General features: G+C 46.7%; 1 protein-coding gene across 52 annotated transcripts in view, besides 5 other annotated features; it reads right to left on the reverse strand.

The window, feature by feature from the left end:
• The window catches only part of TRERF1 (transcriptional regulating factor 1), a 227,294-nt gene that overhangs the window by 39,771 nt on the left and 162,856 nt on the right, over positions 1 to 24,667 (reverse strand). For all 52 annotated transcript variants that reach the window (XM_047419067.1, XM_047419061.1, XM_047419048.1 and 49 more), the window contains 3 exons: positions 3,453 to 5,147; positions 1,050 to 1,096; positions 3 to 153 (listed from right to left, as the gene is read on the reverse strand). In XM_047419067.1, coding sequence (XP_047275023.1) covers positions 3 to 153; positions 1,050 to 1,096; positions 3,453 to 4,889 — 1,635 coding nt within the window. In that variant the 5' untranslated portion in view covers positions 4,890 to 5,147. The remainder of the gene's footprint in view (positions 1 to 2; positions 154 to 1,049; positions 1,097 to 3,452; positions 5,148 to 24,667) is intronic.
• Positions 4,286 to 5,115: an enhancer, noted in NCBI's record as "H3K4me1 hESC enhancer chr6:42236725-42237554 (GRCh37/hg19 assembly coordinates)". NCBI's record gives its function as "activates a minimal SCP1, AML or CMV promoter by ChIP-STARR-seq in naive H9 embryonic stem cells {active_cell/tissue: H9 hESC(naive)}" and the evidence as "EXISTENCE:reporter gene assay evidence [ECO:0000049][PMID:30033119]".
• Positions 4,707 to 4,776: a silencer, noted in NCBI's record as "silent region_17201". NCBI's record gives its function as "represses an Ori minimal core promoter by ATAC-STARR-seq in GM12878 lymphoblastoid cells {active_cell/tissue: GM12878}" and the evidence as "EXISTENCE:reporter gene assay evidence [ECO:0000049][PMID:35858748]".
• Positions 4,897 to 4,946: an enhancer, noted in NCBI's record as "active region_24547". NCBI's record gives its function as "activates an Ori minimal core promoter by ATAC-STARR-seq in GM12878 lymphoblastoid cells {active_cell/tissue: GM12878}" and the evidence as "EXISTENCE:reporter gene assay evidence [ECO:0000049][PMID:35858748]".
• Positions 5,383 to 5,948: an enhancer, noted in NCBI's record as "NANOG hESC enhancer chr6:42237822-42238387 (GRCh37/hg19 assembly coordinates)". NCBI's record gives its function as "activates a minimal SCP1, AML or CMV promoter by ChIP-STARR-seq in primed H9 embryonic stem cells {active_cell/tissue: H9 hESC(primed)}" and the evidence as "EXISTENCE:reporter gene assay evidence [ECO:0000049][PMID:30033119]".
• Positions 14,726 to 15,238: an enhancer, noted in NCBI's record as "H3K27ac-H3K4me1 hESC enhancer chr6:42247165-42247677 (GRCh37/hg19 assembly coordinates)". NCBI's record gives its function as "activates a minimal SCP1, AML or CMV promoter by ChIP-STARR-seq in naive H9 embryonic stem cells {active_cell/tissue: H9 hESC(naive)}" and the evidence as "EXISTENCE:reporter gene assay evidence [ECO:0000049][PMID:30033119]".

Genomic DNA, 24,667 nt, shown 5'->3' on the forward strand with positions numbered 1-24,667 from the left:
ACCTGTTTGAGGTTGGGGGAGGCCCTCATTCCCCCGTGGGACCGCATGTGGCCATTCAGGGCAGGCAGGTTCTTGAACTCCTTCAGGCAGATGGAGCATGTCAGCTTGTTCTTGGCATCAAACTGCTCCCCAAACGCTCCTTTGGGTTGGCCACTGCTCAAGGGAAGAGTCAAATGGAGAGGACACATACGTTGAGGAAGGGGAAACAGTGACTTGCCACAAGACCTCATACCCACCACAAACCCATTTCATTCATCCAATGATCCCATTGTCCATGGCACCACTTGTATCACCCCAGTGCCCTTTAGAGAACAAAGTTCAATTTATAGATGAAAAACTGAGGCTCCAGAGTGGGAAAAGGCCTTCTCAAAGTCATGCAAGAATTGAACAAAATGTCCTTCTTCATACCAAGGCTTCAGGCAATGGATTTTGACTTGGGAACGATAGCTTATTACCCTTCCAGGGTCAGCCTGAGCCCAGCTCCTCCAAAAGCCTCCCCACTTAGAGACATTTGTGCAAGTTCCTGGGGCAGCCGCCGTACTGCACGCTTCAGCAGTTTATCAGGTTTGGCTAAATCTTTATTGACCATGCCCATGGGATGAGGAAGCAAGTCTGTACTGTTCACTGCTGCATTCTCAAAACCTAGCTCTATGCTTGGCACACAGTAGGCACTCAATAAATACTGAATGAATGCACAGTGGACAGAACATGGGCTTTGCAGTCAATCCCAGCATTGTTACTTGATATGTAACCTTAAGCTCTTTGAGCCTCAGTTTTCTCATCTGTAAAGTAACAATCATAATAGCTAACAATTATTGAGTGCTTACTGAGTATAGGCACATCGTAATCACACCCACCCTCATAGGTTACTTTACTATACATAATGCCTAGTGCTTAGCCCATAGTATGCACTCAAACACAACAGCTGCTATTATTATTTCTACACACTTCTTTGAGGAATGACTTGGAATTTAAAAATGAATCATGAGAGACACCCCAGAAAATCCTCCCCGTCTCCCAAAATACCAACAAGGTTCCACTCATCCTACCTTGACTCAGGGGACCCTGGCTGGGCTCTCCCATCAGGTAGGTGCATCTAATTTTGAGCCAAACAGGACACCGAAAAAAAGAAGAGAAAAAAACGTGTTCTGAAGGGAGAAGTCCTCGAGCAGTGGGAACACCAGGTACTCTTCCAGGACTCTTTCTGCTGTCTGCTTCGTGCTGACCCCATTCATGTCCACTCACTCCCTCACTCTTCTGCAATTGACTTCTGTCCCTGAATTGCTCCTTGACTTGGGACCACCGCCCCACTCCTGGAGCTGCTGCCAGCCACAACAAGCCCACCAGGATGCAACTCCCCCACCGTGTTTTTTCCTGTTCTCCCAGGGCACCCACTCTGTGCACAGACAGACTCCATTCCCATAAGGGACACAGAAGAAAGAGGTGGGAGACGCAGCATTATGCCAGGAGACCCCCTGATGGAATTCTTTTTTTTTTTTTTTTTTGAGACAGGGTCTTGCTCTGTCACCCAGGCTGTAGTGCAGTAGCATGATCATGGCTCACTGCAGCCTCCACCACCTGGACTTAAGCAATCCTCCTGCCTCAGCCTCCCAAGTAGCTGGGACTACAGGTGTGCGCCACAACACCCAGCTAAATTTTTGATTTTTTGTAGAGGCAAGGTCTCGCTATGTTGCTTAGGCTGGTCTCGAACTCCTGGGCTCAAGTGATCCTCCTGTCTTGGCCTTCCAAAGTGCTTGGATTATAGGTGTGAACCACCATATCTGGCCCTGGAATTCTTCTTAAAAAGCCTTAGCCAAATCATCTCATTCTTATATTTACAAAGGCTCTCAGTTACCACTGGTTCTGAACCCCAGACAAAACAAACTCAAGGGGAAGTTCATCTCTGGCCTTCAACCTCCATCAGAACTTTCTTTCTATCCAACCAGTTCCCATTTGGGGTCACCTCCTCCTCAGACACTGCTGTCATGTGACTGTATGCCTTGGAATAAGCCAAGGCATGAAAAGTGCCCAGCACATAGTAGGCTGTTTTCTGGTCAAATATTTTTGGGAACAAATCAAGGGTTAATCATGGTGCACAAGATGAACCGGCCTGCAGACATGTTTGTTTGGCTAGACTGTTTTTTAAAAACCCTTAATGAGAATGCTATGGGATGGGGCATCTGCTCTCTAGTTCACAGTCACCACCACTGCCTAATGTCTCATACCAGACAGTTTTGCTTATTTACTTTCCCAGCCTGGATCATGTGGGCAGCTAAGGTTTTCATCTCCACAATCACACATGGTATCTGCGAGACTCACAATGCATACTACCATATTAAAGGTCACAAAAAGTCCTGCAGTACAGCACCCTGTTTCACTTTGGGAGGCTAAAGCAGGAGGATCGCCTGAGGCCAGGAGTTCAAGAGCAGCCTGGGCAACATAGGGAGACCTGTCTCTACAAAACAAAACCAAACCAAAGAAAGTGCTCAGGCCCAGGTGGCATGCACCTGTAGTTCTAGCTATGTGGGAGGGTGAAGTGGGAGGATCGTTTGAGCCCAGGAGTTCAAGGATGCAGTGAGCTATGACTGCATCACTGCATTCCAGCCTGGGTGACAGAGCAAGACCCTGTCTAAAAAAAGAAAAAAGGGGCCAGGCACAGTGGCTCACACCTGTAATCCCAGCACTTTGGGAAGGTAAGGCAGGCGCATCATGAGGTCGGAGTTTGAGACCAGCCTGACCAACATGGTGAAACCTTGTCTCTACTAAAAATACAAAAACTTAGCTGGGTGTGGTGGTGTGTGCCTGTAATTCCAGCTACTTAGGAGGCTGAGGCAGGAGAATCACTTGAACCCAGGAGGTGGGGGAGGTTGCAGTGAGCCGAGATGGCGCCATTGCACTCCAGCCTGGGCTACAGGGTGAGACTCCATCTCAAAAAAAACAAAAACAAAAATAAAAACAAAAACCCTGGTGTATTTATCCTGAGAACCCACTGTTTCCCCAGCAATATCCATTAAACACTGTGGAATGGCTGTTCTGAGCAATATACTTTGAGAAATGCTGTCATAACGTGGTCTCCCTCCCAAAGGGGGACCAATGTCACAGAGCATATCCAGAGCACACAGATCCAAGGGAACTGAGACACCAACACTGTGTGGTCCCCTGGCATGTGACTCAAGGTCTTGACCATTACGTGAATCATTTAGGGCATGATGTGGTACTCTGGCCATCTCCTTAGTAGATTATAAGCTCCATGGCCAAAGGACTTAATAGAGATTGATTTTGTATTCCAAGTGCTTGGCACAGACAGTGCGTGACACATGTAGGTTAATGTTTGTGGAATTAGTAAAGAACAAAAGGGTTGAGGGGGCTTGGAGAGAGGATTGAGCACTGCAGACTCAGCCCTGACCCTGTAGCACACTGGGTATTGAGAGAAACTTCCAATGGGAGAATACCTGGGGCCACATGGCACTGGGAGACAGCTGCTGATGCTGAGGCCCCATGTTGTTGAGGTGGATCCCACTGGGGGATAGGAGGGGGCGATGGGGGAGGGTGCTGCTGACCCGGGTCAGATCTGAGCTCGCTGGGTCTCCCATTCCTGTGTCAGGAGGCCCCAGGTCCCCATGGGAGCTCAGCATGGCCTGGGCCTGTCTGTCACTAGAGTAGGTCTTCAGCTGACTGTCCTCACGCTGCTGGTGCTGGGACAGGTGGCTCTGCTGGTAGAGGGGGTGGCTGTAGGGCTGCTGGGGCTCCTGGTAGTAGTACTGGGACATGGAGCCCAGGGGAATCAGCTGGACAGTGTGTGCCTGCTCTGGGGTATACTGGTGAGGGTCCCTGTGATAAGAAGGAGGCTGCAGGTGCATCTGTTGCTGCTGCTGCTCTTGCAAGTGCTGCATCATGGGTTGGGGCTGATAATACTGAGGTATCTGCATTGAACCCTGCCGCTGCTGCAGCTGTAGCTGCTGCGGCTGCTGCTGCTGTGGCGGCGGCTGTGGCTGTGATGGGCGAATTTGTTGCGGCTGCGTCTGTATTTCTTGCATGGAGATACGCTGTTGCCCGGCTTGCTGCTGTTGCTGCGGTGGGTAATACTGGTGCTGCTGCATCTGTTGCATGTGCTGTGACAGCATCTGTGGGGCCTGCAGTGGCTGTCCTCCCTGCACTGGCACCTGAGCCAGAGGCTGCTGGTAGTCATAATACAGGTGCCCTTGGGTAGGGTGCTGCCCGACCTGAAGAGCTGGTTTGGACAGCCCACCAGTGAAACCAGGGTGAGGCTGCTGGGGCACCTGCTGGTAGCGGGAAGGGATAGCCGGTGCTGGGGGCTCCATGGGCTTCTGAGACAGCAGCTGGCGGAGAGCACTGTCAGGGGCTCCATCCATCACTGCTGACTGAGTGTGCAGCACCTGGGCCATATTGTTGACCTGAATTCGCAGGTTTTGGTTGGCAAACACCTGGGTGAAAGAGTCCAGCTTGTGTAAGACACCGCTGGTAAGCTTCTGGGTCCGGATCTCGCTGGCCTGGGAGTAGGTGTATTGGTAGCCATCAGTGGGCTCAGCCTGGGCTGGTGCCCCCCACATCATGTTTGAGTTGGCCAGGTTTCCACGTAGCTGGACATGGTTTCCAGGCCCTGCATGACTTCCCCACCCTCCCTGCCTCGAGGTATCCATTTGGCCAAGGTTTTTGGAGCCAACAGGCAAGCCCAGACCATCCCGTGTATCTTGAGGGAAGTGGGGGGAGATTGGCGAGGCCTGAGGGGCATCCATTCCGCCCCCTGTAACTGCATTCCCATAGTTGTGGTTCAGCCCGCTGTGGACGCCAAGTGGTGGCTGTTGGTAGAAAAGGTTCTCACTACCATGGGCCACATGGTTGGTCTTGTACAGTTGCTGGTCACCCATGCTGTCTGCCTTGGTTGTGAACGTCCAGCCACAAAACCATAAAAAAGGTAAATAAAACAAACCCAAAAGGACTGAAACCCTGAGAAGCTGAGAGAAAAGTGTCAGCACTACTCCACGGCTGACATGTCTGTGAACGTGGCTGGAGCCAGGTGTTCCTGTTGGCCTGTACCACTCATGTGCAGGGCGGGGGGTTTCACATCCTCTCCCTGGCTGAGGTATAGACCACACAGCACTGTGGTGAGGAGACGTCGCTCACACCTGCAAGGCAAGATGCAAAAGACAGGAAAGGATTTATTTGGATGTTTTGTGATGAGCAATTGATATCCACCATGACCAGTGATAAAAATAAACATATAATCCCAGCTACCTGGGAGGCTGAGACATGAAGTTCATTTGAGACCAGCCTGGGCAACATAGGGAGATCCCGTCTCAAAAATGTTTTTAAATTAGCTGGGTGTGGTGGCATGCGCCTGTAGTCCCAGCTGCTCAGGAGGCTGAGGAAGGAGGATCACTTGGGACCAGAAGTTTAAGGCTGCACTGAGTTATGACTGCACCACTGCACTGCAGCCTAGGTGACAGCATAAAACCGCACCTCTCTCTCTCTCTGTGTGTGTGTATATATATATATGAAACAGGAGACTCGATTAGAAATAGCCAGTGTCATGCACTCCACACCCTTTTCACTGAGTCTGCAGATCTTAACTCTCACATGAGATGCAAACTCTCTTACTTTCAAGCCATTGTTCAATGGCTCAGTAGTTCATTGATTTGTTAATTCATTGTTTTGTTCATTGATTAATTCATCCATTCTTCTGAGACCCTGCTATTGAAAGCCCAACACTATTCTAGGACCTGTGGGAAATATAAAGAAGTTTAAGATATGCATTAATCAATTTATCTGTTCAACACATATTTATTAGACACCTATTAACTGTAAGGCACAATGCGGAGAAATGACTAAGACATAGGCCTGCTCTCAAGCATGTAGTTAGAAAAGGTGATGAGTCGCATAAATAATTACAAAGGGGAAAACGATGCATGTAATCAAAAGGTAAAAATAAGAGAAGCAGGGTGTGATGGCACGCACCTGTACCCCCACCTATCAGGAGACTGAGGCGAGGATTACTTGAGCTAAGGAGTTCAAGACTAGCCTGGGCAACACAGCAAGACCTCATCTCTTTTTTTTTTTTTTTTTTTTTTGAGATGGAGTCTCGCTCTGTTGCCCAGGCTGGAGAGCAATGATGCGATCTTGGCTCACTGCAACCTCCACCTCCTAGGTTCAAGCGATTCTCCTACCTCAGCCTCCTGAGTAGCTGGGACTACAGGTGCCCGCCGCCAAGCCCAAATTTTGTATTTTTAGTAGAGACAGGGTTTCACCGTGTTAGCCAGGATGGTCTCGATCTCCTGACCTCATGATCCGCCTGTCTCTATCAAAAATACAAAAATTAGCTGGGCGTGGTGGCAGGCGCTTGTAATCCCAGCTACTTGGGAGGCTGAGGCAGGAGATTCACTTGAACCCGGGAGGCAGAGGTTGCAGTGAGCCGAGATTGTGCCACTGCACTCCAGGCTCTGTGACAAGAGCAAAACTCCATCTAAAAAAAAAAAAAAAAAAAGAGGTTCAATTTCTACATCCTCAACTTGAAATTCTTTCTAGAACTCATGGATGGCAGAGGTGCAAGCTGTCCTTTTAGGACTTCTCTTTCCTAATCACCCTCCTTTACGAAAAGAAGGGCAAACTTCTCATGTACTACACCAGGGAGAACGAAAAATGGAAACACAATAAATGCTGATCCTTGTCTCATGCTAGTAATAAATAATATTCTTCCATGGATAATGAAATTGAAAATATAGCTCAGCACCAACAATATTTTATTTCTAGACCTGGATGGTAACTGCATGGTCATTCTCACTCTGCTGTAATTCAAGCTATGCACTATGACCTGGTCATATACATAAAGGTGTATATGTCGTATGTCAATTAAAAAAAGTTTATTTTAAAAAGTCACCCCCCCCAAAAAAAGTTACCCAGTACCACCATTTCATTTAGAGATGCATTTTCAATATAATTTAACTATTTATGTTTATAATTTATCCAAATTAGTAATACATTAAATGTTTTGATCAACTGTGTACTATTAATAATTGTGATAACTCAAACCAGAAGAACATTTTAATACTTAGATCTTTTGATTTTAGGAAATTAAAAAAGTTTCAACTTTATATAAAATTGTTACAGAAAAATATGGTAGGGAAACAAGTGAAAAAGTTCCAAGCATAAAAATATATTACACATATCACATTAGGATAAAATTCCATAGGGCAAGTGAAATGAAAATACAATTTCCAGAAGAAAAAGGAACACTGACTATTAAAGAGGGTGTTCATGCGTTTTTAAAATGGATGACGGGAGGTATTAAATTGCTATGGTGTTTAGATTCCACTGGATAAATTTAAAACAGTGATGTAATAGTTTTGCTTAAAAATATCAATGTTTACAACCTACTGGAAATGGTATCTTCAGCAAATGTATCATAAAAAAATGTGTGTGTAAACTTAAAACTGTATGAAGGGGCAAAGAGTTTTAAAAGATTCTTTTAGGGAGGATTTTAAACAGAAAAGTTTGAAGACCACTGCAGTCGTACCCTTCTACCTGGGAGTGAGCTGAGTTGGTCTGTCCCTTTCTGAACTATGAGAGAAAGAGATGGAAAACTTCAGATGAGGGGTTGCATTTGGTGGAGTGAAGGGTGGAGGAAGGCGAGCCGTGGGTGGAAGGGGAGGGTGGCCAAGGATGGCTGCAGCAGTGAAAGGATGCTGGGCGTGAGAGTGCTGAGCTTCAGAAGCAAGGAGACTAATGAACCTCGCTGCTCAAAGGGTGGTCCAGGTCCCCTGGGAGCTGGTTAGAAATGCAGAATCTCAGGCTCCAGTTGAGATCTATTGAATCAGAATCTGTATTTTATTGAGATGATGCCCACCCCCAAGTGAGTCATGTCCAGATGAAAATTTGAGAAGCACTGAATTAGCAGACTCTTGCTGCATCCAGGTGAGGCATAATTAAGACCAGAACTCAGAAGACAGTGAGCAGGGAGAGAGGGAGAAATAAGAGAAACATTCCCTGTCTTGCCAGTGGGAAGCAACTCTCCTTCCTTGAAATGCTCTGGCCCACTGGGGCTTATGACCCAGTCTCAGACACCCACTCCTTTCCTCACACATATTCTCTCCTTTGATAGCCTCATCCACCACCCATCCTTTCTGACCCCCAAAGATTGCCCCCAGCTCAGATGGTCTGAGATCCTGATCAGCTGCCTACTCTACGTCACCACGTCCATATTCAAAGGCAATTCAACATCATCTCTCCCAAACTGGATGCTGTTTTCAGAGAGCTCTTTCCTTGAACCTGCCATGCTCCCTTCCACTGCAGGGCCTTTGTACATGATGCCCCCTCACCATTTGGAGAGCTCTTCCCCTCCTCCCCGCCACTGGGTATCCTTCAGATCTCAGCTCAAACTACACATTCTCAGAAAGTTCACTCTGACCCCAATCCCCAAGTCTACATCAGATTCCTTTCTTATATGTTCTCATAAAACCATATTCCTTTCCTTTAGACTACTCTCTTCCGCTTGTAATTGCACTTCCACCAGTGCAATTATTTGATTAATGGATCTTTCTCTATTAGAGCAGGAATCAGGTCTATTTTTACCTAGGAGTCTCTTCCTCAAACCAACCATAATGCCCAGCACACTGTAGGACTCCAATAAGGATTTGTTGAAGGAAGGGCAGTATTTATTGAATGAATAAATCAACAAATGAGAAAAAATTAGAAAACAATGATCAAATATCCCAGTGAGTTTAGACAGGCAGAAAAAGACACTCAGTATAGATCAAGAAGTTCTTACGTTCTCATGAAGCATAGTCAGATTGCACCTCGGTCCTGATAGACAAATAGGGCTTACAGAGGTGGAGAGGACCAGGAAGGGTATTCCAGACAGGGAACAGCATAAACAAAGGCATAAAGTCAGGTGCAGGAGTTCATGCTGGGACATCATGTCCTTGTCCAGAACTCACCAATGATCAGGCTACATTTGTAAGAAAAGGATAAGTTGTAGTGGGCCTTAAAGTGACATCCAACAGTATTATCCTTTGGGCATTAGGCCTGGCTATTTCAGAATGCTCTACCAGGCTTAAACCTCTTCACTTAGCCTTCCTTAAAAGGCTTATACAAAGTCACCACACTCAGGAAGAATTACTTGTTGAAACTCACCCGACTTTGAGCACTATTGATTTCATGTCTCTCTCCTATGGCCCTGTGGGTAGAATGGAAGCTAGATAATTGAACTTCTGTTGACATGTTTGCTTTGTTAAGTCTTCCCAAACTGCTAGGGAAAGGGATTACTTTGCATTCTGAGTTGCAGGAGGCTATTCTTTATTTGTTGACATTTCCAGAACTGGAATATAGTTTATTTACAAGCACAGAACCCTAGATGGAACCCTAGGTGGGTTCCCAAAGTGTGGTTCTTGGGCTAGCAGCCCCAGGATCACCTGGGAAATAACAAATACTAATTCTTAGGCCCCATCCAGACCCACTAAATCAGAAACTCAGGCTGTGGCTCAGCAGTCTGTGTTTTAATGAGCCCTCTTGGTGAGTCCGATGCACGCTTAAGTTGAAGATCTCTGCCCCAGAGATGATCCAGTCTCTCCACATTACAGATGAGGAAACAGAGAAACAGAGGCCCAGAGAGGTAATTTCTGGGCCTAGAACAGTGCCTCGCTAATGGTAGAAAATCAAGCCTCATTTGTTCAATGAAAGAAGAGGAAAATGGCTCAAGCCTGTAATCCTAGCACTTTGGGAGGCCAAGGCAGGGGGATTACTTGAGGCCAGGAGTTCAAGACCAGTCTGGCCAACATGGCAAAACCCTGTCTCTACTAAAAAAAAATACAAAAATTAGCCAGGCGTGGTGGTGCACCCCTGTAGTCCCAGCTACTTGGGAGGCTAAGGCACAAGAATCCCTTGAACTTGGGAGGTCAAGGTTGCAGTGAGCCGAGATCAAGCCATTTCACTCCAGCCTGGGCAAGAGAGTGAGACCCTGTCTCAAAAAATAAAAATAAAAATAAATTTTAAAAAAAGAGAGAGAGAAAGAGAAAATGATTTTTCCTAAAACACCATAGGGAGATAATGGCAAAACATGTGCTATTTATTTTACATTAAATGTAATATTTTTTGAATAGGTACTATATTCACATGGTTCAAAATTCAAAAGGTTAAAATGGACATGCAAAACAGCAAAAATTATCCTAAATAAATGCCTGTAAATAAAGTGAAAAGCATGCAAATTGTAAAAATACGGGCGTGAAAAGTCTCCCTCCACCTTCCACCCCCATCCCCAGCCACCCAGTACCCCTTCTGGGACAGTCAATCAGGTTCTTATATATCCTCCTAGAGACACTTTATGCTCATACAAGAACACTAATGCACAGCCCGTCTTATACAGATGGTAGCGTGCTACGCCGTGGTTTAGCATCTTGCCAAAAGGCTATTTTAAACATATCATTTAAAACCTGAAAACTGTTCTTCTTAGTGGATTAGTCAATCTCACAGAATTCTTATAATACCAACTCAGGATTCAAGTCTTTATTATTTTTCTAACAAGGTAACTGTTTTGCTCATTATGTGTAACAATTTCTACTGGGTAATTTGTACCAGGAGCTTTTTCATTCATGAACTAATTAACAGAACTGCTACCTTCCCATTTCTTCGGTCAATTTCTTCCTTAGAGCAGGACTCCAGGATTCCAGGGTGGGCTCAACAAATAAATGCCCACTCAGAACCTAAGGTGCCACTCCACGCTCCCACAGAGCCTGTGACCGCTTTTCCTCTGCACTGACCATGTCACAGTCAGGCGACCCACTTCCGTGCCTGTCTGCACACTGGCTGCCCAGTCACTGTGATGTAGGGACAGCAGCCTGCCCATGTGGTGTCCTCAGGGACTGGGACATAGCAGATGCTCAACAAACGCTCACTGAACTGCAACACTGCGCTAGGCAAAGGAGACCTAGAGTGGCTTGTTCCCCTCTGCAGGTCCCATGCCTCTGACATGGACTAAGGGACAGAATTTACTAGTTTCTGTTGAGGGCATAGTGCCCTAAAGCACCAAATTTATGGAGTGCTGTAGATAATAACAAGGCTCTACAGAGACCTCCCAGCACACTTTTTCTATACAGGGCCAGCTAGTAAATATTTTCAGCTTTGGGGCCCATACATATGGTTTCTGTCACAACGCTGCCACGGTAGCGTGAAAGCGGCCACAGACCATATATAAATGAATGGGCGTGGCTGTGTTCCAATACAACTTTATTTATGGACGCTGAAACTTGAATTTTACATAATTTTCACATGCCAAATTCTGTTCTTCTTTTGATTTTTCTTCAACCAATTAAAAATGTAAAAATCCTTCTTCACTCACAGGCAGTACAAGAATAGGTGTGGGCTGGATCTGGCCTGACCCATGGTTTGCTTGACCCCTGTTCTAGAGCATCAAAGTCTCTCCACACCCCACCCCCTGGCCTGGGGCACCAGGAGACAAGGCCGCAGTCTGCAAGAAGGATATCTGTCCTAAGGGCCACCCTTTGAACCAGAGACACAGACAGAGAGATACACCAGGAGAGGAAGTTGACTTTGGCGGAGGTCTCCGCAGGACTTGTTTGCTTACAATTCAGAAGGGGTAACACCCTGCTCCGGCCAGACCACCATTGCTTGTTTGAGGAAGAAAAACCAAAAAGATTTTCCTTTTTCTGACCCCGGGCAGTCAGTTAGAGACTGTATACACAATTCTCCAAATGCCTTGGCTTGTGTTTTAGTCCAGCCTTCCTCTCGGCTCTGTCAAGGAAGCTTCACTCGACTCCCCTGGGGCTCCTCTTAGTCCAGCTCACTCCCAGCTCCCCTAAGCAGGCAGGAGCCAAGGGCGGCTCTCCAGGATGTGGGCCGCAGTTCGCCGTCTTCTTTTTAGCACCGTTGTTGTTCTAAATGCTTTCTGATTAGTCTTCTAAATAATTCCAGTGGGTATTTTATAATCCAGTAACCCGATTATTGTGGACATGTGCTGCCAATGACAGTGGTTAGCATCTAAATCTTCCTCCCTGCAGTGAGTGGTTTGCTCTTACTCCTTCACAGCCCTGGCTTTCCTGCTGACTCTGGGCTGTGGGAGGATTTTCAAGGCTCCCTTTGGGCAGCAAGAAACATTCATTTCTCTACCCTCAGGTCTCACCCTGTAGCATCAGTTGCTCCCTCCAAGCCCTGGGGATCAGTAGGAAGCCCGACGCATAGCTCAGGAACCTGCAAAATGGAGGGTTTGGATTTTGCTTCCTGCAGGTGGCTCCTCATTAGGAAATAGAGATTGGACCGATTTCACTTTTTGGTTGTCACTGTCACTGCCATCTTTCCTCTGGGCTGGCTGTAGTTCTTTACCAGGGACTTTAACATCGTCTCCCCCCTGTGACTACCATATGCCACTTCTCTCTCTTCCTAGCTGTCATGGAGCAGTATGGAAACTAAGGACATGGGGAGAGAAGTGGGAGCTGCAGGAGTCTAGGGTAAATTCCTGGAGGAGGCAGCCATGGTCTGAGTGGGCCTTGCTGATATATTCCTGGACACATTTGTTTCATACTACCTTCCCTAAGTATCCAACAGCAGGGTTCTGCCTGCTCCACCTCCAGGGCCCTGGCTGGGATGACCTCTCCTTCCTGTGTGGCTTGAGTCTCATATTGTGGCTCCCACCCTGTGAGGCCTGGGGTTGCCAGTTGCCCTTTTCTGCTTCTCCTTGTGACATTCTTTGGGGTCTTTTTGAAGCCTCATCCTCCCTCAGATTGTGAGCTTAAAGATACAGGTTTGTCCCGCAGCAGTCCTGACATGGCTAGGATTGTAGGGAGATTAGGAACATGGGCTTTGGCTCTGTGAATATGGGGTAGTTAGAAGAGCATTGGAAAAAGCTGAGAGTGGTGGCTCATGCCTCTAATCCCAGCACTTTGGGAGGCCAAGGCCCACAGATCACTTGAACCCAAGAATTTAAGATAACTCTAGGCAACATAGTGAGACCCCATTTCTACAAACAATTAGCTGGGTGTAGTGGCGTGCGCCTGTAGTCCCAGCTACTTGGGAGGCTGAGATGGGAGAATCACCTGAGCCTAGGAAGTTGAGGCTGCAGTGAGTGGTGATTATACCACTGCATGCTAGCCCTATCTCAAAATAAATAAATAAATAAATAAGAAGAAGAAAGAAGGAAGAAGGAAGAAGAAGGAAGAAGGAAGAAGGAAGAAGGAAGAAGGAAGAAGAAGAAGAAGAAGAAGAAGAAGAAGAAGAAGAAGAAGAAGAAGAAGAAGAAGAAGAAGAAGAAGACTGCAATAGAAGACAGGAGCCCTGGGCTTTGGTTCTACTGACTCCATGTGACCCTGGGCAAGTCATTTGCCCTCTCTGGACTTCAGTCATGGCTTTCTCTACATCCAGATAATTGAAGCGAAGTTTTTCTAGAGAGAGAGGCTGAATAAAATCCATACAATCTCTGCCTCATCTTAACCTGACTTGTAGAGACAAAATTCAGGGTTCTGGATCCAGTTGGTATTGACTGCATAGATCTGACGACTGTTTAGGGGGCAAATGCACGCAGTGTAGAGACCAATGTGGTCTCCACCTCTCCTTTTATGACACACAGAAGCTAGGGAGGGGAGGCGATGTTAAATTGATGTAACTGATGTGGCTGAGCACTTCCTGTATGACAAACTGCTCTGGGAGACTAGAATGGAACAAACTCCAACATAGTTACCTGGGATTAACAAACTTCACATCGGTACTGATAAAGTCAGCTACAGCCTATGGTTCCAAGGAGAAAGTAGCAGATGCAAATACAGAGATCCTGTGGGAAACTTACAACCACACTTACCGCACCTTTCAGCCTAAAGGGAAAGGTGCAACAGGCTCTGAGTGGGGCATGCCAGGGATGAGGACCACTCCAGCTTGCCTGGCTCCCCAGGAAGCTTCCTCCCAACCCACAGTTGATACCATCCCCCATCACCTGGTGGCGGTGAGGTTGACAGATGATCCAGCTGAAAGGTCTGCAGAAAGAAGATGGGACACAGGAGCATCAAAACAATCCACACGTGATTCCCTGAGTGACCCAAATGCTTTCATGATCACATGTGTCCCCTAAGGAGGAGCTGCTAAGAGAATTTCAGAATCAATCATCAATCAGATTGAAGACCTGCTTTGTGCCAGGAGAGATGAGAGGTCATGAGGGCCCCTGGCCTCATGAGGTTTACAGTCACATTAACTGAGGCCTCATAGCTCAGACCAGCATCTGTGTCCTGTCATCCTTTACAGTCTTTTATACCAACTCGCACTGAGGACCTTCTATGCCAGGGCTGCTAGGGGACAAAACTGTGTCTTTAAGATTGCAATCTGGGGAGGAGGAGGCTTCCAAAGGACCCCAAGGAATGTCACAAGGGGAAGGCAGAGAAGAACAACTGGTGACCCCAGGCCTCACAGGGTGGGAGCCACAATATAGGGCTTGGGCCTCACAGAAGGATGAGGTCACTCCAGCCAGGGCCCAGGAGGTGCAGTAGGCAGACCCTTGCTGTGGGGGACTCCGGGAAGGTCTCTGCAGGGCACCTGGCTGGAGGGGGTCTGGGCCCAGGGCCCACAGGAAGGATCCTCCACTCCTGCCCCCAAGAACTTGGGGCGTGGGGCCTTCTGAATCAGCACCTGGGACTTCAGCCAAACAAAGGATCCCTGGCCCTGCAGCTGTCCTGGGCAGGGCAGGGCAGGGCTGGGAGAATGGGAGGAGATTTCCCTCCGGCTGCTCTGATGAGGCCCCAGCGAAAGTGGGAATAAAGATAGAGGGGAAGTGGGCTGGCAGGGAGATCTGACCCCCTTGGCCCCACCTACAGCCTCAGAGTGAATTATTAATAGAAGAAAGCACAAGTCAAGCACCTGCAGGCTCTGTTGCTATCACTCAAGCTCCACACCTAGCGTCATGGGGCCAAGCGGCCAGAACAGCCTCCGGCAGGTGGGCAGCACAGACCAACTTCCTCTGCAAGGGACGACAGGGAGGGTGGTGGCTGGCGCTGTCACCACATCCTGGCCATGCACATTGAGATGGCACCAGACCCACAGACTCTCCAGGCCTGTGTGTGTGTGAGCTATACTCCCGAGCAGATCAGCTGTGTGACTTTGGTGTGTGGCCTTCCAAGACATCAAGCTGTATAAAAAACCAAAGGGTCACCCAGGGCCCCAGAGAAGAAGCGATCATCTTAAGGGACAACCACTCCCCTTTTTTTCTGGAAAACAGCTCACACAGTAACAAAGTCAGTGATGTACAAAGTCAGTATGTAAAATAACCGTGCAATAGTGTTCTTGTGTTTGGGTTGTCGTGGGTCCCCTCTGGGTCTCCTGCCTGCGTTTCAGACAAAAAGCCTGTGTAGAAGCCCAGGGTATCCCAGGTTATGACGTCGGTGCCACGGGGAGCATTCTGTAAATACCGGCGGCGACACCGAGCTACATACTGGGCAATGCCACGGTCCCAAGCTTTTCGCTTTTAAGATAAGGGGGCTCGGACAAGCCACAGTCCCTTTTGCTCAGACTTCTAAGGTCTTTTGGGGAATTCTGGGAGTCAACAAACAAACCCGAGGGGACCTCTGGCAACTAGGGCTGGAGGCCTTCCAGCAGGACTTCCTGAGTCGCTCCCTCCTCCAGGCCTCCGAGGATCCGGTTCTGGCCTCCTTCTAGAAGCCCTGGGGGATGGTGAGCCTCACTCAGGTACCCATCTCCCAGCAAGTTCGTGCTCTGAGGGAGGGCAGGGGGAGCCCTGGCTCGCTTGCTCACTTGCTCGTCTCCGGGACTCAGCTCATGCCTCCCCTGACAGTGTGAGTGAGTGCTCAGGAGGCACTGACCCAGGGCAGCCAGGAAGAAGCCTCTATGCCCTGCAGCCCTCGGGGTTCAGCCCAGCCACTTGGCCGTGCCTGACGACATCTCCCCTGTTCTTCATGGTGCTATGGGAGGCCAGCCTTCCCAGGCAGATGAGTGAGGCTCCTCATTCAAGGGTCCAGGGGGAGCCTCACCCTCATGGCACCCTGTGTAGGCTCTCGGGGCCCTTAGGAGGCTGCTGAGGGCGGGGAAAGGAAGGAGTGAGGGAGGAGGCCTGGAAGCCAATTAGGAAGATGTCCTTGAGAGGCAAGTCCATGGGAGCTGCAGAGAAAGTCTGTCAGGAGGACCTGGTTCCAAACTTGTTCCAAATCACAGCATGCCACGATGAAGAAAAACAGTATGTTTTAATTCATAAATGCTTCTAAGAATTCAGTGTTATGGAATAAAGTTGGAAGTGAAATTCCCCCTCACCTGAGATTCCCACTGTCTGGTGCTTTGTATGTGGACGGTGGGAGGGATGATGAAGGTTGGCTTCTGGTTACTGAGAGGCCTCAGGGGATAAAGAGGGGTCCTGCCCTTTCTGGGTTTGCTCCTCCTCTGGCAATCTTCATGCTCCCCTGGGAAGCCCCCAAACCTGTCTGGACTTGCTCAAGGCAGATATCCTGTTGGTCACTGGCCCCCATTATCTCACAGTCCCAATTTCTTGCCAAAACAACTTCCCTTTGCTGCTAGGGGACCCCTGCAGCTGAACCAAGAAGACAGAAATGCGGCCCCGGAGCCTGGGCTGCAGGGAGAGTGTGAGGACCAAATCCTAGCTAAAGGTTTTACAGGCCCAGACACGCATACTTCTGTTTGTTGGAAACATTACCCCACCAAGCTCAGTCACCTCAGGTATTTCATTTTTCAAACAATACTAGATATCCAGTTCCATAGAAACAGAATTGTGTTTAATAGCTCTGTTTTTTAAAATCTCTCCCTCTCTCTCCACTGTGCCACGAGCAGTGTTTGGCCAAAGCAGATTCACTCAATGTTTATGGAACACAGCAAACAAGTTTGTCAAATATCAACCCTGTGTGCATGGTAAACTATTAGAAAGTGAAGGAGCCAATCCCCTTCTCCAGACCAGCTGAGGTGGTCCAGAATTACATCCAGGATGCCTGCTTAAGAGTGCCCAGACTCTGCCAGGATCCTCCAGCCCTGTGTGGAGGCGGGTCACAGAGGGGTGGCTGTAGGAGGGACACCCAGCGTGGCATCGATGAGCTGGATTAAGATGCTGCTACGCAAACAGGAAGGAAGAACAGCAACGATGGCTAACGTGCATTGGGCGCTAACCCCAGGCTAGGCACAGTGCCAAGTCCCTCAGAAGCCCCTCCCAATAACCCCACATGGTGGTAAGTGCATCCATCACCTTTAACTACCTTACCAACCTCCCAATGACACCTTGCAATGAACATTCTCAGATGCATCCCCTTAGGAACATCTGTGAGAATTTCTTTAGGATACATACCCAGGAGTAGAGGAAGGTGTGATGCTTTTTATGTGTCAGTTTGGCCAGGCTGAACTACTGCCCTCAGAATTCCCTTTCTAGGGAGTTGGTTAAAGCAGAGACTCATAGAAAATGACATGTAGACAAGTGTGTATGCTGCAGTATTGCTAGAAAAGCCAAAGACTGAAAACAACCCAAATGCCTAACCATAAGGGATTGATTGAAGGAAATCATGGAATAACCGCAGGATGGGATACTATGCAGTTGTTAAAACTAACAAGGAGACTGGGCACAGTGGCTCATGCCTGTAATCCCAGCACTTTGGGAGGATGAGGCAGGAGGATTGTTTCAGCCAAGGAGTTAGAGACCAGTCTGGGCAACATGGGGAAACCCTGTCTCTACAAAAAATACAAAAATCAGCCAGGTGTGGTGGTGCACACTTGTAGTCCCAGCTACTTGGGAAGCTGAGGTGGGAGCATCAATTGAGCCCAGAAGGTTAAGGCTGCAGTGAGCCATGATGGCGCCATTGCATTCCAGCCTGGGTGACAGAGTGAGACCCTGTCCCAAACAAACAAACAAACAAACCGAACCAAAACAAAACAAAAAATCCAAAAGAACAACAATGAAACTCTCTATGAAATGAAATGGAAAGACGTCCAAGGTTAAGTGAAAAAGAAAGATGCAGAACAGTATGTTCAGTATGCTCTCTTTTGTGTAAAAAATGGTTAAAATAGAATATATACATATGTAGGTATATAGATAGTTGATTTTTGTTAGTTGTGGTAGTTACATCCTATAAAGTCTCTATGATCACTGAATTAGTGAATACTGAGCCACTGCTCCTAAGAGAAATACAGGGTTAGGTTCCTGCAAGCCCCTGGTTGCAACATTTTTGTCAACTGATCAGTATATAACCTTGTTTTATATGTGTCTGCTTAAAGGATATCTTATTTAACATCTATTTTTTTCATTCATTAACATTGACCTCACAGCCAACAGTACTACAACTAATGCCTGAAAGGAGCTTATCTAATTCACCCATTTTCTCTGTAAGGCACATACATCACAGCCTTCTCGTGCTGAGAACAGTAGGCAACACTTTAGCATTACACTTGGAGGCCATTTCAAACAGTGAAATCAACAACAAAAACAACAAAAATATGAAAAATGCCATACTAAATACACCAAAAAAGCACACTTGTGTCCAGCAGGAGAGCTGAAATAAGAAGGTGGAGTTGCCTTGTTTAACCTCAGCTTGGGAACATGCATCGGGCGACTCAAAATTTTCACTGCTCTGTGCCTGTCCTCAAATGACCAAGAAAGCACTGAGCATCGGTTTTGTGGTTACAAATAAGTTTAGAGAGTAGGGAATTTGCAAATATGGAATCTGTGAATAATAAGGGTCAACTATGTATTTATAATTGATATATATTCATAAAGAAAATCTGGAAGGATCCAAGAAACTAATAATAGTTGTCTGCAGGGAGGTGGTAGAAACTGGGCTAATTGGGGAAAAGAGCAGGAGGGAGATTTTTCATTTTATAACTTTTTATATTTTTCTGTGTTTTTGAACCATGTGAATACATTACTTACAAAAAAAACCCAGATAGAATAACATATGAAAAAAACTTTTTTTTTTTTTTTTTTTTTTGAGATGGAGTTTTGCTCTTGTTGCCTAGGCTGGAGTGCCATGGCACGATCTCGGCTCACCACAACCTCCACCTCCCGGGTTCAAGTGAGTCTCCTGCCTCAGCCTCCCGAGTAGCTGGGATTACAGGCATGCGCCACCGTGCCTGGCTAATTTTGTATTTTTAGTAGAGACGGGGTTTCTCCATGTTGGTCAGGCTGGTCTCGAACTCCCAACCTCAGGCAATCTGCCCGCCTCGACCTCCCAAAGTGCTGGGATTACAGGTGTGAGCCACTGCACCCTGGCCAAAAAAAACCTTTATGTGCACTTAATTGCAGTACATTAATGCCTTATGAATTTATTTTAACTTAAAACACAAATATCTTACTGGTCTTTTGAGGCAGGGTCCAGAACTTTTCTTTGCTCATAGATCTGTGGAATAGAGCTCTGTATTTATCATTTGTGCATAAACCACTGATGATGCATAATCTATACTTTTTCAGTTTGGTTTCTTTAAAAAGGAGCCAGAAGTAGAGAATCCTGGTAAAGGAATTGTAGTGCAGCATCCTCTGACACGCTTTTATTTTCTTCTCCCTCTAGTGTCAATCTTTATAATTTTTAATTTTTTTTTTTTTTTTTGTAGAGACAGGGTGTCGCTGTTTCCCAGGCTGGTCTTGAACTCCTGGCCTCAAGCAATCCTCATGCCTTGGCCTCCCAAAGTGTTGGGATCACAGGCGTGAGCCACGGCACCACAGTGCCAGTCTTTAATAGTTGTCTTGCTCACACCTAATTTGGCAGCAATTCTCTTTTGGTGGCTTGCTTTTATCACTTCTTTCCAAAGCATTCAACAGTGAAAAATGTGTCGCCTGTCACACATTCTCAGCTGAGGTAGAACAAGGTGACTCTTACTTTTCACTGAAATAGCACTTCTCTTTCTTTTTTGCATTCATAGTTCATTGGCTTAGATCACATTTAACTAATTTACATAATTACAATAACAAGGACAACTGGCATAAGCAGGTTTGAGGACCAACACAGCCCGTGACTACATTTGTGGGAGTGGGTGCTCTGTTTAGGGCAAGTTGTGGAGAAGGCCAGCTGCCACTCAGTTATGTAGAGGCTGGTTAAAGACAGTTCCACCTGCGTGTGAGTGTGACTTGCTAACTTTAACATGAGGAGCATGCTAGATGTCTCTGAACTATGCCGTCTGACATTGTGTTTCATGCATTCAAATGTCAGGTAAGTGTGTACAGGTCAGGCACATGCTCCTCAGGCAGAGCGCTGGGGTCCCTGTGGTGCTCAGAGCCAAGCTGTCATGGGGCAGGCACTCTGAAAACATTTTCTGAAGTAAGCAGACCTTTTTTTTTTCAAAGGTCCTCAAGGTAAGATTTCTGACAAAGCTGACATTTAGACTTCACGGTTTAAGAAAGGGATGGGGTTGAATCTGTAAATTACCTTGAGCAGTATGGCCATTTTCACGATATTGAGTTCTTCCTACCCATGAGCATGAAATGTTCTTCCATTTGTTTGTATCCTCTTTTATTTCCTTGAGCAGTGGTTTGTAGTTCTCCTTGAAGAGGTCCTTCACATCCCTTGTAAGTTGGATTCCTAGGTATTTTATTCTCTTTGAAGCAATTCTGAATGGGAGTTCACTCATGATTTGGCTCTCTGTTTGTCTGTTGTTGGTGTATAAGAATGCTTGTGATTTTTGTACATTGATTTTGTATCCTGAGACTTTGCTGAAGTTGCTTATCAGCTTAAGGAGTTTTTGGGCTGAGACAATGGGGTTTTCTAGATATACAATCATGTCGTCTGCAAACAGGGACAATTTGACTTCCTCTTTTCCTAATTGAATACTCTTTATTTCCTTCTCCTGCCTAATTGCCCTGGTCAGAACTTCCAACACTATGTTGAATAGGAGTGGTGAGAGAGGGCATCCCTGTCTTGTGCCAGTTTTCAAAGGGAATGCTTCCAGTTTTTGCCCATTCAGTATGATATTGGCTGTGGGTTTGTCATAGATAGCTCTTATTATTTTGAAATACGTCCCATCAATACCTAATTTATTGAGAGTTTTTAGCATGAAGGGTTGTTGAATTTTGTCAAAGGCTTTTTCTGCATCTATTGAGATAAATCATCCCCATCAAGCTACCAATGACTTTCTTCACAGAATTGGAAAAAACTACTTTAAAGTTCATATGGAACCAAAAAAGAGCCCGCATCGCCAAGTCAATCCTAAGCCAAAAGAACAAAGCTGGAGGCATCACATTACCTGACTTCAAACTATACTACAAGGCTACAGTAACCAAAACAGCATGGTACTGGTACCAAAACAGAGATATAGATCAATGGAACAGAACAGAGCCCTCAGAAATAACGCCGCATATCTACAACTATCTGATCTTTGACAAACCTGAGAAAAACAAGCAATTAAAAGGATTCCCTATTTAATAAATGGTGCTGGGAAAACTGGCTAGCCATATGTAGAAAGCTGAAACTGGATCCCTTCCTTACACCTTATACAAAAATCAATTCAAGATGGATTAAAGACTTAAACGTTAGACCTAAAACCATAAAAACCCTAGAAGAAAACCTAGGCATTACCATTGAGGACATAGGCATGGGCAAGGACTTCATGTCTAAAACACCAAAAGCAATGACAACCAAAGCCAAAATTGACAAATGGGATCTAATTAAACTAAAGAGCTTCTGCACAGCAAAAGAAACTACCATCAGAGTGAACAGGCAACACACAAAATGGGAGAAAATTCTTGCAACCTACTCATCTGACAAAGGGCTAATATCCAGAATCTACAATGAACTCAAACAAATTTACAAGAAAAAAACAAACAACCCCATCAAAAAGTGGGCGAAGGACATGAACAGACACTTCTCAAAAGAAGACATTTATGCAGCCAAAAAACACATGAAAAAACGCTCATCATCACTGGCCATCAGAGAAATGCAAATCAAAACCACAATGAGATACCATCTCACACCAGTTAGAATGGCAATCATTAAAAAGTCAGGAAACAACAGGTGCTGGAGAGGATGTGGAGAAATAGGAACACTTTTACACTGTTGGTGGGACTGTAAACTAGTTCAACCATTGTGGAAGTCAGTGTGGCGATTCCTCAGGGATCTAGAACTGGAAATACCATTTGACCCAGCAATCCCATTACTGGGTATATACCCAAAGGACTATAAATCATGCTGCTATAAAGACACATGCACACGTATGTTTATTGCGGCATTATTCACAATAGCAAAGACTTGGAACCAACCCAAATGTCCAACAATGATAGACTGGATTAAGAAAATGTGGCACATATACACCATGGAATACTATGCAGCCATAAAAAATGATGAGTTCATGTCCTTTGTAGGGACATGGATGAAATTGGAAATCATCATTCTCAGTAAACTATCGCAAGAACAAAAAAACAAACGCCGCATATTCTCACTCATAGGTGGGAATTGAACAATGAGATCACATGGACACAGGAAGGGGAATATCACACTCTGGGGACTGTTGTGGGGTGGGGGGAGGGGGGAGGGATAGCATCGGGAGATATACCTAATGCTAGATGACGAGTTAGTGGGTGCAGCGCACCAGCATGGCACATGTACACATATGTAACTAACCTGCACAATGTGCACATGTACCCTAAAACTTAAAGTATAATAAAAAAAAAAAAAAGAAAAGGATGGGGAAGGGCAGGTCTGTAAGATCTCCTAAAGTGTCTGGGATTAAATCCTCAGTTGGCTCCCAGTGCCCCAGGCTGAGGCGAATCCCTCGACTGTTTAGAGACGATGTGGAAACCCTCTGCTCCTAAAGGAGGAAGAGGCCCAAGTCCATGATCTGAAGCCGAAAGGCCTCTGTCTCAGCAGACGACCCTGACCCCTGCTTCACAGAGAATGGGGGCTACCGGCCTTTGCTCTCTCCACCTCCTCCCGCCAAACAAACTTTCACACGTCCCCCCTGCCCTAACTCCTTTCTCTTCACTTAACTGAAACAACTGGAGACCCTTTACCCAGGATCCTGAATCAGAAACTGGGACCCCAGGGGCCCACCACCTCCCCATTCCCACTCACTTCCAAGAGATGATCAATTCCTGCCCACTTCTCCTGCACAGCCTTTCCCTGGCCATCTTCTCTCATTGCCTAATCCATGCTCCTCTGGTCGGGTCTCACCCCCTCCAGCCCTGACACACCACCCTCTCCTTAAAACCTCCAATGCTCCCTCTGCCAACAGGTAAGTGTCCAAACAGCTCAGCTGGGCACAGAAAGCCCTCACAATCTGGTCTCATTCACCCTTCCAGTGATTTCCCCACCCACTCAGATACACCCTGAGCACCTGTCCTATGAAGCCACACAAAGTTTCCATAATGCTGGTCCTTCTGCTTGACAGCTCTTTTTCCCATTCTCCACCTTCTCAGCCTACAAGTTCCTGTTCAAACCTAATGTCTTTCACGAAGTCTTCCCTTCCCTGATCCTCAGCCACTCATCATAACAAAACATTTATTGCATGCTCACTCTATACCAGGTACAGTAGATGTAATGGAGGTGGGAACAGAGACAGTGTCAGTTATATAGGGCTTGCAGTCTGGGTGTGTGCATGTCAGCCAGAGACAAGTATAATTTTACACCTGTCATGAGGAGCTATAAGATAGGGCCGAGGGCCGGGCACCGTGGCTTACTCCTGTAATCCCAGCACTTTGGGAGGCCGAGGTGGGCAGGTCACCTGAGGTCAGGAGTTTGAGACCAGCCTGGCCAACATGGTGAAACCCCATCTCTACTAAAAATACATCATTAGCCGGGCGTGCTGGCACTTGCCTGTAATCTCAGCTACTCGGGAGGCTGAGGCAGGAGAATCGCTTGAATCCAGGAGGTGGAGGTTGCCGTGAGCCAAGATGGCTCCATTGCACTCCAGCCTGGGCAACAAGAGCGAAACTCCATCTCAAAACCAAAAAAAAAAAAAAAAAAAAAAGAGAGAGAGACGGGGTTGTGACCTTGGCAGAAAAGTCAGGGAAGGATCCTCTGAGAAAGTCACAGTGATGCTGTGATCTAAAGATGAGAAGGACATAGGGAGGGGAAATAGGGTGCAGAAAACTGTATTCCAGATAGCGTCAAGGACAGATGGGCAAAGGCTCTGTGGCAGGTGGGAACAAGGTGGATGTAAAGAACTAAAAGAAGGCCAGTGTGGCTGAAATGGAGGAAAAAGGAACACAGTGATGAAACTGGACAGGGGGCAAGGGCAAGACCATCCAAGCCTCTTGAGGCTAAGGATCCTCATCTTAATGGCTCCCCTGAAGAGCAGGGGAAACCATTAAAGTATCTTGAACTCTGTGTGTGTGTGTGTGTGTGTGTGTGTGTGTGTGTGTGTGTCAAAGCACATGTAACTGATCATATTTCTATTTTGAAAGTTTGCTCTGGGCCGGGTGTGGTGGCTCATGCCTGTAATCCCAGCACTTTGGGAGGCCAAGGCAGGTGGATCATTTGAGGTCGAGAGTTCAAGATCAACCTGGCCAACATGGTGAAACCCCATCTCTACTAAAAATACAAAAAAATGAGCTGGGTGTGGTGGCACATACCTGTAATTCCAGCTACTCAGGAGGCTGAGGCACAAGAATTGCTTGAACCCAGGAGGCGGAGACTGCAGTGAGCCGTTATCATGCCACTGCGCTCCAGCCCAGCCTGGGTGACAGAGTGAGACTCTGTCTCAAAAAAAACAAACAAACAAAAAAAAAACAAAAAAAAAC

The sequence above is a fragment of the Homo sapiens genome, chromosome 6, assembly GCF_000001405.40.
Source record: "Homo sapiens chromosome 6, GRCh38.p14 Primary Assembly".
In the NCBI taxonomy this organism is placed as follows: Eukaryota; Metazoa; Chordata; class Mammalia; order Primates; family Hominidae; genus Homo; species Homo sapiens.